At 43.6% G+C, this 14,528-nt stretch overlaps 1 protein-coding gene across 3 annotated transcripts in view, besides 1 other annotated feature; it reads left to right on the top strand.

The window, feature by feature from the left end:
- Positions 1-14,528, top strand: part of CMTR1 (cap methyltransferase 1) — a 57,524-nt gene that overhangs the window by 31,130 nt on the left and 11,866 nt on the right. For all 3 annotated transcript variants that reach the window (XM_047418463.1, XM_047418462.1, NM_015050.3), the window contains 5 exons: positions 3,498-3,696; positions 4,452-4,570; positions 6,435-6,531; positions 6,856-6,988; positions 7,715-7,894. In XM_047418463.1, the coding sequence (XP_047274419.1) occupies positions 3,498-3,696; positions 4,452-4,570; positions 6,435-6,531; positions 6,856-6,988; positions 7,715-7,894 (728 nt within the window). The remainder of the gene's footprint in view (positions 1-3,497; positions 3,697-4,451; positions 4,571-6,434; positions 6,532-6,855; positions 6,989-7,714; positions 7,895-14,528) is intronic.
- Positions 4,715-5,369: an enhancer, noted in NCBI's record as "OCT4-NANOG hESC enhancer chr6:37427605-37428259 (GRCh37/hg19 assembly coordinates)". NCBI's record gives its function as "activates a minimal SCP1, AML or CMV promoter by ChIP-STARR-seq in primed H9 embryonic stem cells {active_cell/tissue: H9 hESC(primed)}" and the evidence as "EXISTENCE:reporter gene assay evidence [ECO:0000049][PMID:30033119]".

Here is a 14,528-nt window from a genome sequence, read left to right on the forward strand (position 1 = left end):
GCTGTTGTTGCCCAGGCTGGAGTGCGATGGCGCGATCTCAGCTCACCTCAACCTCCGCCTCTCGGGTTCACGTGATTCTCCTGCCTCAGCCTCCCAAGTACTGGGATTACAGGCATGTGCCACCATGTCTGGCTAATTTTGTATTTTTAGTGGAGACGGGGTTTCTCCACGTCAGGCTGGTATTAAACTCCCGACCTAAGGTGATCCGCCTGCCTTGGCCTCCCAAAGTGTTGGGATTGCACGCGTGAGCTACCGCGCCCAGCCAACTCTGAAGTTTTTAAGTAGGTCTGTGGTGCTGCAGGTTATGGTAAAGGAGAAAGGGGGCAAGGGGAGGAAAATAAAGAAGCTATAAGCAAGAACTGGAAGAGACAAAGGACGGAGGGAAATTTAGATCCTTGGAGTATATGGAAGCATATTATAAACTGTTACATTATGTCAGGGGTTCGAGTGCCTGGGAATGTTGTTGAGACAAGAATACATTGTCTGTGAAGCATTGCAGAAGACAACTGAAGGTAGATCTCTAAGTTTCAGTCCTAGCTGAGGAAATTAGACATCATTTGTCTAATTTCCATTGAGTGTGCAGTGCTGCTGTACTCGCCACTGGAAAGAGAAAAACATGGAAAAGGATAAGAGTTTTGACTCTGAGGAAGTTGATCTGATTGAGTACAATATCATCTTGCATTAATTGTTTAATACTTTACAGTTTGTAAAGCTCTTCAATATAGGATACTTTATTTAGTCCTACAACGGCCTGGAGAAATACCTGTATCAGTCCCAATTTATAACTGAGCAAGCTCAAGCTTAATGACTTAAATTGTGTGCTTGTCCTTAACTGCACAGTCAGTAAGTAGCAGAGCTAAGAACGCCAGCTGTCCTTCCTGTGAAAAGACTTCCTGGCCATGACCTATAAGGGCCATACATCTTGAAATCACAGAACGAGGTCATATTCATGCCCCCTTTGCAGGGGTGAGGTGTTCGCATCGATCATTCCGCATCCTTCTCCCAGTCTTCCTTTGGACCAGTGGTTCACTTAGAGGGCACGGCCAGTGGCAAGGAACCTTGCTTTTCCCTCTTTGCAGTATGTGTAGGGCTAAAACTTGTGACCCCTGCCACATTACCACCATGCTGACTCGAAGATGCTACATAATGTTCTTGGCAAATACCATTAGGTCTTTTTTGTGTGCAAATGAATATAATCCAAAAAGATGAATAATCGATGGCTCAGGAACAAAGAATGCTGGGGCGGCTTAGTAAGGAAGTGGGGAAAGAACGATTAAGACCCAGCATGCCTGGAGTGGGCTTGTCACGGGATGATGACATTTATTTTTAGCTAAAGTCACTTTCTCCAGAGACTTTTTCACTATTTTGATAAAGCCAGATAGCTATCATCAGAAGAAAGGCCCACCTCACCTAGAAGTGATTGGGTTGTAAACATTAGTATGTCTATTTCTTTCTTGGGACTGTTTCCCCTAAAGCTTTCTGATCGTTATCTAGCAGCTGCAGAACTCTAGACCAGCACTCAGCCATGCCGAACCTGTAGAGAGGGAAGACTGAGGTCCCTAAGCCCCTTCTGGCTTGAGTGTTCATCATGGTCTGAGGCCAACTATAGTCTTTTGCAGTTACTCACTTGTAGAACTCAACCTTTTGTTGTTGTCACCAGTGCAAATGGTTCATCCTGTCTGCTGTGGAGGGTGGGTAGAATTTCACTGTCTAGGGCTCAGGTGTGGGTAAGAGCATACCTAGCATTTGTGTAAGAGAAGTATAAACATACAATATGGTCCAGTACTGGGTTCAGCATAAATGTGAGGTTAAGAGATAAAGCTAGGCTGGGCATGGTGACTTACACTTGTAATTCCAACACTGTGGGAGGCTGAAGTGGGAGGATTGCTTCAGTCCAGGAGTTTGAGGCCAGCCTGGGCAATACACCAAGATCCTGTCTCTAAAAAAAAAAAAAAATTTGTTGAGCGTGGTGGTGTGTGTCAGGGGTCCCAGCTACTCAGGAGGTTGAAGAAAGAGGATTGCCTGAGCTCAGGAGTTCAAGGTTTCAGTAAGCTATTATTGTACCACTGTACTCCAGCATGGGCTGAGTGAGACCTCGTTGCCAAAAAAAAAAAAAACAAAAAAACCTGGGGAGAGAGAGCGAAAGCTACTCAAGGGGCCACAAATGTAATTATGCCAAAATTCAAATGATGATTAGTCAGTCCTGAGTTGGCTGGGTGCTCCGAGCGTTGCCTGGAAGCTGCTGTTGCTGCACAACAGTATTTCCTTCCCTCTCTGTCTTGTCAGCTTCTGACTGTGCCCTGCCCCAACCCCACACCCAGCGCTGGGCAGGAGAAGAAAAAAGGGAGTGCAAAAAGGAGAGAGACCAAATGCAGTGTGGTGTCTTGGATTGGATCCCAAACAGAAAAAGAACATTAGTGAAAATCTAAATGAAGTCTAGAGTTTAGTTAATAGTAAGGTACAAATGTTGGTTTCTTAGTTTTGCCAAACATACCATGGTGTAAGGTGTTAACAAAATTGGAAACTGGGTGAGGGGTACTATCTTGGCAACTTTTCTGTAAATCAAAAATTATTCCAAAATAAAAAGTTATTTGGGATTTTTTAAAAGGTGGTTGGGAGAGCCAAGGAGGAAGGGGAGAAAGGAAGACAGAGGCTATGATGGGAAAAGGAAGGTTCCTGTGGCTGGGAGAGGGTGTTAGAGCCCCCCAGCCTTTGGTTGGACAGGAAGACCTGAGTCTAGTGGCTAGGCCAACTGGACCCTGATTTAGCTTTGTTGCAGACTGGCTGTGAACAGATTACTTTGTGACTTTGTATCTTGGTGCCTCTTTTTCCCTATCTGTATATGTGGGGCATATTCTGTTCAGTAGGACTCTTGAAAGGCAGGATATGGTGAGGAAAACACTCTGAGAGATAAAAAATGTAGTCAGATACCCATAAATGTTTTTTGTTGTTTTTGTTGAGACAGGGTCTCGGTCTGTCGCCCAGGCTCAAGTGCAGTGGCGCGATCTCAGCTCACTGCAACCTCTGCCTCCCGGGTTCAAGCAATTCTCATGCCTCAGCCTCCCGAGTAGCTGGGTTTACAGGTGTGCGCCACCACACCTGGCTAATTTTTTGTATTTTTAGTAGAGACAGGGTTTTACCACGTTGGCCAGGCTGGTCTCAAACCCCTGACCTCAGGCTATCTGCCTCTCTGGCCTCCCAAAGTGCTGGGATTACAGGCTTGAGCCACCGCGCCTGGCTCCATGAAGATGTTTTTATGAGGAGTCTGAGCTAGGCCTGGTGATGTGATAGGCATTGTGGGTATTTTGAGGGTGGGTGAGGCAACACTAAAGGGTGTTAATCACCAGAAGATACATTTCCTGGGTGCTGTAGCTCTGGTGGGAGCTCTGGATTGTACTTGCCGAAAGGCTTATTTTACTCTCCCTGCATTCTCCTTCCTGTTGCCCATTGAGCTGTCTTGTTTTCCTTCCTCTCCTGTCCTCCACTTGCCTTTGCAGAAGCCACTGGTGAAGGACCGGGAAGCTGAGCTTCTGTACTTTGCTGATGTCTGCGCAGGCCCAGGTGGCTTCTCAGAGTATGTGCTGTGGAGGAAGAAGTGGCATGCAAAGGGCTTTGGAATGACTTTGAAGGGCCCTAATGACTTCAAGCTGGAGGACTTCTACTCTGCTTCCAGTGAACTCTTCGAACCCTACTATGGTAGGGACATTGAGGAGGGTACTAGGAGGTATGAGGGACAGCCCCTCTATGGGGACTTCAGGTCAGAAGCAGTTGTTATCCACATGCCATATTTTCTTTCCTAGGTCTCTTACCCTGGGCTTCACAGTTCATGTCAGAATCTTGGTTCCCTCTGGACTATCCCTTTTTACCCTGGGCCTGCAGAATACAGGTCAAACACTCCCTCAGCAGATTCTCATCAAGGCCCTATTAATTCCTCCTTTCAGGAACACTCTGCTTTTGTGGTGGCAGGAGATAATGAAACTGCCTGATCTCTGGCTGAGAACTGGCAGGGTTTTTAACAAATATAAACCCAATGCCCATCTCTCGCCCTCTGTGCCAGGTGCAGAATGCACTGGGTTGCAGACAGCTCAGCAACCCACAGCAGTCCCTCTGTTCTATGTTGATTGTAATTTGACAGCAAATCCTAAGTCCTTTCTGAACAGTCCTTATTACAAAATTGATGCCTAAATGTAGGTGCCTTAAACACAACTTGGGTCTTAAAGAGAAAGTTCCACGAGTTGATGACTTTTGACTGGTCAACTCCTTTGGGACTGTGTTTCATTATAGCAGAGTACTGTTGTTCCTCCTGGTCCATCACTGTAAGGGAGCCTTGCAGGATGGGCCCTAGTTCTTGAGACACCTGATGCCCGTCTTCACTGACCCAGAGCACTCGTGTCCCAGCTCCTGACATGTATAGGGCAGATGAACTCACTATGACTCTTGTATTCTGACAGGTGAGGGTGGGATTGATGGAGATGGAGATATCACCCGCCCAGAGAACATCTCTGCTTTTCGGAATTTTGTCCTGGATAACACAGATCGCAAGGGTGTCCATTTTCTGATGGCTGATGGGGTAGGTTACCTTTTTTCCATAGACTGATGCATTAAGGATTTGTTATTTTAGAGGTTTGAGAATTGTTTGTTTTATCTGGTTCTTTAGCTGCTCCCAAAGATGGTATTTCACAGTTCAGATTGTAGAGAATGCATTTTTATTCTTTTTATACATTTTTTAAATGATAATTGTGTAGAGACTGATGTTGTGGATACCTTTGCCTGGAGCAGGGTGATCTTGGTGTTGCTCCTGGTGGAGGCTGTCTATACATGGTCACCTGTAAGCCTCTCATAGGCTGACAGATGGCCACCTAACCAAAGACGGCAGCACAGAGGAATCCACAGGAGGCTCTTGTCAGGGCTGGGTTAAAGTGAATGTTCAAGAGGCCTTGTCTATGGGCAGCTGCTTGAGGCACAGAGGGAAGCCCATTGCAGCTTTGTTCAGCAGAAGCTCTCACCCAGTAATCTGACAATGCAGGCATTCCTTTCTGGAGTGAGCCACCACTTACTCTAGAGGAAGGACAGACAATTTGGCAGCTGCTCCAGGATCATATAGCTAGAGTTGAGAAAAGCCTCTGGGACTCTTTGGGTGGCCTCTTAAGCAGTAGCTGTGTGGCTAGTGAAGGAAGGTGGGCAGGATGTCAGCATGATATCCAAAGATGCCTAGGCTCACCAAAGCACTGTGCACAGCAGGGAACAACAGATGACAGGCTTGGGGCTGGCTGTGAGGGAGGGGCTGCTCTGGCTGAGCAGATGTGGGAGTCTGATAGCGCTAATGAGGCAGCTGTTGCTGTGCGGCAGCTATAGAGTTGGAAGCTCAAGGGCTTTCTGCTTCAGCACTTCAGCAGTGTAAAGGGGTGACCTGGGCTTTTTTTTTTTTTAATTGACCCCATAATCAGGCATGCATTTTGAGAAGCATCTTTAAGTCTGGAAGACACTCCTAAACATTTCTTATCCTGAGTCCTTTAGCTATCACTTCTGTAGAACTGAGTCAGGGACACCTGGGGCGTGTTTAATAGAGGGCAGCGTCCTTTTTTCTTTATTTTATTGTAAAAAACACAAATTTGATCATCTTAATCATTTTTAAGTGTTAACAGTAGTGTTAAGTCTATTCACACTGTTGTGCAACAGATTTTCAGAAGTTTTCATTTTGCAAAACAGAAACTGTACCCATTTAACAACACTGTGCCACCTGATGTCCCCTGGCCTCCTTTACTTTTATGTAAGCCTGACTCTGTCTCCTGCTGGGATCTCACAAGGAGGGAGACCACTCTAGAAATAGCATCACACATTCTTTCAGTAAATACCCTGGCCAGAGAGTCTGCCAGCTGGATACAAGAGGCACCGTGGTCTTAGGACAGGAAAGGGGGTATTGTAAGTAAAACCTGAGTCAACAGAGAGAGATTACTGTGACTAGGAAAGTTAACTTTTCTCCTTCACCAGAGTGGGAAGCCGAAGCAGAGTGTTCTCACTGTACTCACTCCCTGGTCTTGTTAGGACTCACCAGAGCATTCTGTTTCCTATGTTGTGGTTGACCTCTGACTAGCCAATATTTTGCCTCTGTTCTGCCTTACTCTTCTCTGGATTCCCATGAGTTAAAACACATTCTAAACCATCTCCTTGGAAAAGCAGGCTTGGTTCCATCCCCTGAGAATGACAGAGCAGGAAAGTGGAGCTGGTCCAGTAGTAGGCCTGGGTCCTGTGCTTACTCCATCTAACAAGCCCAGTGACCTTCTAAAATAACTCAACACTGAGCTGCTTCTTCATCAATCAGATGGTGATCAGTGAAAACACTTCAAGAACTCTCGATGAAGATGAGGTAGTGATGTTATTCTTAGTCCTTCTCTTTTCTCTTTCCCACCCCATTCCTTGTGCTCTCATTTCAGGGTTTCTCGGTGGAGGGGCAGGAGAACCTGCAGGAGATCCTCAGCAAGCAGCTGCTTCTGTGTCAGTTCCTCATGGCGCTGTCCATTGTCCGGACAGGTGACACTTCCTCAGCTGTCTCCTCACCCCAGGACCCACTTAGAGGCCCTATTGGACAAGAACATGTACAAGGGGTTGGTGGGGAAGTTAAAAAAATCTGCTTATATTAGAGGACAGGTAGCTAAATGAGTAATTTAGGGAAGAAAGGGCTGTGGAATCCTCAAAGTCCCCTCCAAAGATGGTTCTCCCCCTTAAATTGTCTCTGAGTTTTAACAGACCCAGGTGCTGGTTTCCTTGACTTTGTCATATTTACTCCCAAGACTACTTCACCCATCTCTTGGAATAGACCCATTGGCTGCTTTTGGTGTTTTCTCTCTAATCTAGGAGGCCACTTCATCTGTAAAACCTTTGACCTGTTCACACCGTTTAGTGTGGGGCTTGTCTACCTGCTGTACTGCTGCTTTGAACGAGTTTGTCTCTTCAAGCCTATTACCAGCCGTCCTGCCAACTCAGAGAGGTGAAGCCTTTCTCTCTATATTAGCCAGATTAATTGGCTAAATGTCAGAACAGCAAATCATGGTGCATCTCTCTGGCATGACCTCTTAAGCTACGTTTAAAACCTTGACTTTAAAGAAGTGATGAGAGCCAACAGGATTCAGGATTCCTGGATCTTTTGGTCTTGTGATATGCCAGTTCAGCCTCTGCCTCCTTCTTCCAAGCCTTATGCTCCATGCTTATGTGAGGGATTCTCAGCTTGGCCAAGGAGAAAGTGACCAATAGTAGGGACACTTCAGGGGTCTTGGGCTGGGAAGGGGCAAGGAGCCGCTATCCAGAGGCACTACTGGGGTCCCAGTGTGACACTGCCCACACACAAGGTGAGAGAAAATGCAACCAATCAGAATTGCCCGGTGGCTTTGTTACAAACACATATTTCTGGGCCTTCTCCTGGGAGAGTTTGATTCATTAGGTCTATAATTTAACAGACTCCCCAGGTGATTGTGACACAGCCCGTCTGTCACAGGGAAGTTAGGAACTACTGCGATAGAGAGTAGAAATAGAGCTCAACAGAGAAGGATTTGAGGGGAACTTTAGCACCACAAAGGGTCTGTGTTGTTCTTTGTGCGTAGGCCTAAGGTTGAACAGGGAAGCCATTAAGCTTTGTGATTCCACAAGGGGTTGGGGGAAAAGGAATGTATGGGGAGGAAGCCCTTGCTCGGTGGAGTGACAGAGTATCTTCTGCCAGGTATGTGGTGTGCAAGGGCCTGAAGGTGGGCATAGATGATGTTCGGGATTACCTCTTCGCAGTGAATATTAAACTCAATCAGCTGCGGAACACGGATTCCGACGTCAACTTGGTGGTCCCCCTGGAGGTGATCAAGGGAGACCATGAATTTACTGACTACATGATACGGTCCAATGAGAGGTAAGCCAACGGGCTGGTTTTTGCTGGTAACACTGAGGTCCTAAGGAAGACCAGAGAGTGAAAGACTGAATGGTTGGCTCTTGGTATCACTTTGTCAACCCTGACAAATTGGCAACTGGGTTTGGTCTGCTGGTTTCAGGGCTCCCTGGGACTTTGGTTAGTTACCCTCAGGGACCCCCATCCTGCTGCCATGCCCTATCCCAAGGGTGGCAGGTAGGTGCCTGGCTAGTATAGGCCTGCCTGCAGGAGCCTGTGTATAACAGTGAAAGCTGACAGAGCAGCCTGTGTCCCTGGAGGCAGGAGTAATTTCCCTTTAATTGCTGCTGTTTGTAAAAGGCCATCATGCTTGTTGCCTGGTGAAGTCCCTGTTTGGAGGCAGGAGATGGATGGAAAGCATGTGTACAACATGCTTTGGAAGTGCCCAAACTTTTGCCATTTCTTCATGAGTTCCCCAGCTGGTGATCCAAATGCTGTTTTCTGTATCTTCTTTGTTTTCCCCACTCCCTGTTAGTGGTAATAATTTAAAGTTGTGACATTTGGCTTAGTTTTCTCAGTGGGCAGGCCTTTGAAAAAAGTGTTTGGAGATAGGCTGGAGGGTTGTATAGTAGTAGTGATTCAATAGAAAATGCTCTCTTAGGGGGCTAAACAGGTGTTGGAAAGGCCTTAGTTAAGGGTCCAACCTTAAGTCCCCCAGAGAAGTTTGAAGATAGAGGTGGCCCTGGAGAATCATAGAAGGGGAGGAAGTCTTTATCCTATTCTCTCCTATTTTTCCAGTATTGCCTGGTGTTTTAACTTTCCACAGTACTGCCATATAAGCGCCCTCATTTTGATAGCAATGGTAGGCACCAAGGTGGAGCAGACAGTAAACTTCAGCATGTTATAGATGAGGAAGCAAACAGGCCCAGCGACCCGCCTGGCTAGGGCTTTGTAACACTTCTGGGTTATGGAACATGTCTTTTGGCTGAACAAGTGTGCATAGATGCATGGCAGAACTGGAATTCTTTTCAGGGGTTCCAATAACACAGAGTGTTTAAGCAACTCTATAACCAGCCACTTTTCTTTTTCTAAAAAAGTTGAGGTATAATTCTGTAAGTGAAATGCAAATCTTAAGTGTATAATCAGTTTACAAATGCATATATCCTTGTAGCCTACATCCCTATTAAGATAAAAAATGTGGCCGGGCGTAGTGGCTCACACCTGTAATCCCAGCACTTTGGGAGGCTGAGGCAGATGGATCACGAGATCCGGAGATCGAGACCATCCTGGCTAACACGGTGAAACCCCATCTCTACTAAAAATTCAAAAAAAATTAGCCAGGCGTGGTGGCGGGCGCCTGTAGTCCCAGCCACTTGGGAGGCTGAGGCAGGAGAATGGCGTGAACCCAGGAGGCAGAGCTTGCAGTGAGCCGAGATCGCGCCACTGCACTCCATCCTGGGCGACAGAGGAAGACTCCATCTCAAAAAAAAAAAAAAAGATAAAAAACGTTTCCATCACCTAAGGAAATTTTCTTATGCCCCTACTCAGGCAGCCCCAAAGTAACCCCTCTTCTGAGTTTTATCACCACAAGTTAGTTTTACTTTTGTATTTTGTGTCTGGGATTTTTTCCTCCTCATGTTTTTGAGATTCATTCATATTATGTTAGTTGGTTTCTTTTTCTTGCTGACTAGTATTCCATTCCATTGTATGAGGATTCTTTTGTCAATGGCCACTTGAGATATTTCCAGTTTGGGGCTGTTACGAATAAAGCTGATACAGACATTCTTGTACAAAGTTTTTGGTGGACAAATGTTGTAATTTCCCTTGGGTAAATACCTGAGTGGGAAATTCTGGATCATAGAGGAGATGTATGTTTATTTTAAAATACCACATAGTTTTCTAAAACGCTGTGTGTGTGTGTGTGTGTGTGTGTGTGTGTGTGTGTACAGACAAACAATAAAACAATGTATATGTATATAGTATACATATAATATGTATATTATGGCCGGGCGCGGTGGCTCACGCCTGTAATCCAGCACTTTGGGAGGCCAAGGCGGGTGGATCACCTGAGGTCGGGAGTTTGAGACCAGCCTGGCCAACATGGTGAAACCCCATCTCTACTGAAAATACAAAATTAGCTGGGCATGGTGGCGCATGTCTGTAATCCCAGCTACTGGGGAGGCTGAGGCAGGAGAATCGCTTGAACCCGGGAGGCGAGGTTGCGGTGAGCCGAGATCGCGCCATCGTACTCCAGCCTGGGCAATGAGTGAGACTCTGTCTCAAAAAAAAAAAAAGTATATTATATATAAAAACAATAGAACAATTTATATATATTGTTTTATTCTCCTTTCAGCAAAGTGTGAAGTTCTGATTACGTCTTTGTCAGCATTTGGTATTATCAGTCTTTTATTTTAACCATTTGGTGCAATGTAGTGTTACATCATTGTGGTTTCAATATGTATTTCTGTGACAACTAATTATATTGAACCCCTTTTTATGTGCTTATTGGCTATTTGTATATCTTATTTTATGAAGTGCTTCTTCAAGTCTTTTGAACATTTAAAAAAATTGATTTGCCTCTTTATTAAGTTGCAGGAATTATTTTACATTCTGGATACAAGTCCTGTGAGTAGCTGGAGTAGCTAGGATTACAGGCACCCACCACCACCCCCAGCTAATTTTTGTATTTTTAGTAGAGACAGGTTACAGCATGTTGGCCAGGCTGGTCTTGAACTCATGACCTCAGGTGATCTGCCCACCTAGGCCTCCCAAAGTACTGGGATTTCAGGCATGAGCCACCATGTCTGGCTGACCTTTGGCTGTTTTTAATTGTTTTTTTGTTTGTTTGTTGTTGTTGTTGTTGAACTGTAGGAGTTCTTTATATATTTCTGGATATTAATCACTTGTCAGATATGTGATTTGAAAATATCTGTGATTCTGTAGGTTTTTTTTTTCCCCACTGCATTGATTGTGTCCTTTGATGCACTGAAGTTTAAAATTTTGATGTAATCCAATTTACCAATTTTTTTCTTTTATTCCTTGTGCTTTTGGTGTTATATGCAGGAAATCATTGTTAAATTCAATGTCATTAATCTTTCCTCTATGTTTTTAAAGAGTTTTACAGTTTTTGTTTTTTTTTTTTTTTTTGAAACGGAGTCTTGCTCTGTTACCAGGCTGGAGTACAGTGGCACAATCTCGGCTCACTGCAACCTCTGCCTCCCGGGTTCAAGCAATTCTCCCATCTCAGCCTCCCGAGTAGCTGGGATTACAGGTGCGTGCCACCACGCCCAGCTAATTTTTGTATTTTTGGTAGAGATGGAGTTTCACCATGTTGGCCAGGATGGTCTCGATCTCTTGGCCAGGATGGTCTCAATCTCTTGACTTCGTGATCCTCCTGCCTCGGCCTCCCAAAGTGCTGGAATTACGGGTGTGAACCACTGCACCCGGCCGAATTTTACAGTTTTATCTGTTACATTTAGATCTTTGATTCATTTTAAGTTAATTTTTGTATAGAGTATTAGGTAAGGGTCCTTCTGCATGTGAATATCCAGTTTTCCCAGCACCATTAGTTGAAAACACTGCCCTTTCCCCGTTGATTGGTCTTGGCATCTGTCATTTAACCATATATATGTAAGAGTTTATTTCTGGGCTATCTCTTCCATTGGTATATGTGTCTGTCTTTATGCCAGTAGTAGACAGTTTTTAGTACTGTAGCTTTGTAGGAAGTTTTAAAATTAGAAAGTGTGAGTTCTCCAACTTTGCTCATCATTTTCAAGATTATTTTGGCTATTTGGTGTCCCTTGAGATTCCATATAAATTTTAGGATGGGTTTTTCTATTTCTGCACATACGTGTATATATATATAATTTTTAATGTTATAAATTTTCCTTTAAGGATCCTTTAGGGCCAGGCACGGTGGCTCACACCTGTAATCCCAGCCCTTTGGGAGGCTGAGGCAGTTGATTACTTGTGCTCAGGAGTTTGAGACTAGCCTGGGCAACATGGTGAAGCCCTGTCTCTACAAAACGTACAAAAATTAGCTGGGCATGGTGGCTTACACCTGTGGTAGCTACTCAGGAGGCTGAGGCAGGAGGATTGCTTGAACTCAGAAGGTAGAGGTTGCAGTGAGCCAAGATCGCACCACTGCCCTCCAGCCTGGGTGACAGAACGAGACCGTGTCTCAAAAAAAAGGATGCTTTAGCTGAATCTCCTACATTTTGATATGTGTCTTTTAATTAACCTATGGCTCATATATTTTAAATTTTTCCTTATGATTTGTTCTTTGATTCATAGATTATGTATATGTGTTGTATTTAATATTCAGATAATTTAGGATTTTCAAGATATCTATTAGATTTAGTCACACCATTCTCAGAGAATGTATTCTGTATGATTTTGATCCTTTGAAACTTAATGAAGCTTATTTTATGACCCATCATATGCTCTATCTTGGTGTTGCTTGGCATAATGTTCTATAAATGTTAATTTGGTCAAGTTGGTTCATAGTGTTTTTCAAATTTTCTAAATCTTAACTGATATTTTGAGTACTTATTCTGTTAACTGCTAAGAGGGTTGTTAAAGTCTTTAACTATGATTATTGAGCTGTCTGTGTCTTCTGTTAGTTTTGTCAATTCTTCAGCTATTTGGGATCTTTGTTATTAGGCACATGTACATTTAAGATAGTTTTGTTTTCTTGATGAATTGACCTTTTATTGTTATGAAATACCCTATTTATTTCCAGTAATACTCCTTGTCTGAAAGTCTGCTTTATCTGACATTAGTATAGCCACATAAGCTTTCTTTAGCTTAGTGTTTATATGGTCTTTTTTTGTCCTTCTACCTTTGTCTTTATGATTAAATATGTTTCTTATAGACAACATGTGGTTGAGTCTTACCTTTTTGTCCAGTCTGATCTGGATAAAAGTCTCTGCATTTTAATTGGGGTGATTGGTGCATTTACATTGAGTGTAATTATTAATGTTTAGCTTTAAATCCCCTATCTTGGTTGTTTGATTTCTATTTATCCTGTCTGCTCTTTGTTCCTCTCTTCCTTTCTTCCCTCTGTTTTGTGGGGGGGGGGACTAATTCAGTATTTTTTAATAACTAATTCAGTATTTTTAAAATAATTCAGTATTTTTTAGTATTCCTTTTATCTCTTTGAGGTTTTTTAGATGCCTTTTTTTTTTTGCTATGTTTCAATTGTTGCTGTAGAGATTACTATATGCACCTTTAAGTAATCAGTCTGCCTTCCAAAACTATTTCATTGTTTTATGAACAGTGTAAGAACCTTACAACACGATACATGCTATTGTTCTTTTGTCTTTGTGTTTTTGTTTTTATATAAACTCTACTTTATATTGTTACTATTTTTACTTTAAACCGTTTATAGTCTTTTAAAGATGCACATGCATGCACATATATATCTAATTTTTTTAAAAAGGTCCTTGGTATTTACTGACATACTTACCTTTCTGGTGTTCTTCATTCCTTCCTGTAGAACCAGATTTCTATTTGGAATCATTTTGCTTCACCCTAAAGAATTTCTTCTAGCCTGTCTTTGTAGTACAAGTCTGCTGGAGACTAATTCCCTGCTTTTGTCTATTTAAAAATGTATTTAGGCCAGGCATGGTGGCTCACGCCTGTAATCCCAGGACTTTGGGAGGCTGAGGCAGGTGGATCACCTGAGGTCAGGAGTTCGAGACCAGCCTGACCAACATGGTGAAACCCCGTCTCTACAAAAGTACAAAAATTAGCCCGGCATGATGGCGGGTACCTGTAATCCCAGCTACTCGGGAGGCTGAGGCAGAAGAATCACTTGAACCTGGGAGGCAGAGGTTGCAGTTAGCCGGGATTGTGCCATTGCACTCTAGCCTAGGTGAGAGAGTAAGACTCCGTCTCAAAAAATAAATAAATAAATAAATAAAAATAATGTATTTAGACTGGGCATGGTGGCTCACGCCTGTAATCCCAGCACTTTGGGAGGCCAAGGCAGGTGGATCACCTCAGGCCAGGAGCTTGAGACTGGCCTGGCCAACATGGCAAAACTCCCTTCTGGCCAAAGAATTGCTTGAACCCAGGAGATGGAGGCTGCAGTGAGCCGAGATCGTGCCACTGCACTCCAGCCTGGGTGATAGAGTCAGACTCTGTTTAAAAAAAAAACAAAAACAAAAAACAAAACAAAAAACTATTTCCCTTTCATTTTTGAAGGATATTTTCACTGGGTATGGAATTTGAGGTTGATGTTTTTTCTCTTAGCACTTTAAAGATATGATTCCATGGTTCTCTGCTTCCCTTGTTTCTGATGAAAAGTCAGCCATTATACCTGTTGTTTTTCTGTATGTCATGTGTCTTTTTCCCCTCTGGCTGCTTTTAATATTTTATCTGTTATTTTTAATATCTCAATCTTGATATATTTATATGTGGTTTTCTTTGTATTTATTCTGCTTGGGGTTCATTGACCTTGGATCTGTGGATTGATTTCATTCAACTCTTCAGGAAATTTCTTGGCCATTAGTTTGTCAATATGTTGTTTTATCCTTTTTTTTTTTTTTTTTTTTTTTTGAGATGGAGTCTCGCTCTGTTGCCCAGGCTGGAGTGCAATGGTGTGATCTCGGCTCGCTGCCACCTCCGCCTCTGGGGTTCAAGTGATTCACCTGCC

The sequence above is a fragment of the Homo sapiens genome, chromosome 6 (genome assembly GCF_000001405.40).
Source record: "Homo sapiens chromosome 6, GRCh38.p14 Primary Assembly".
NCBI lineage: Eukaryota > Metazoa > Chordata > Mammalia > Primates > Hominidae > Homo > Homo sapiens.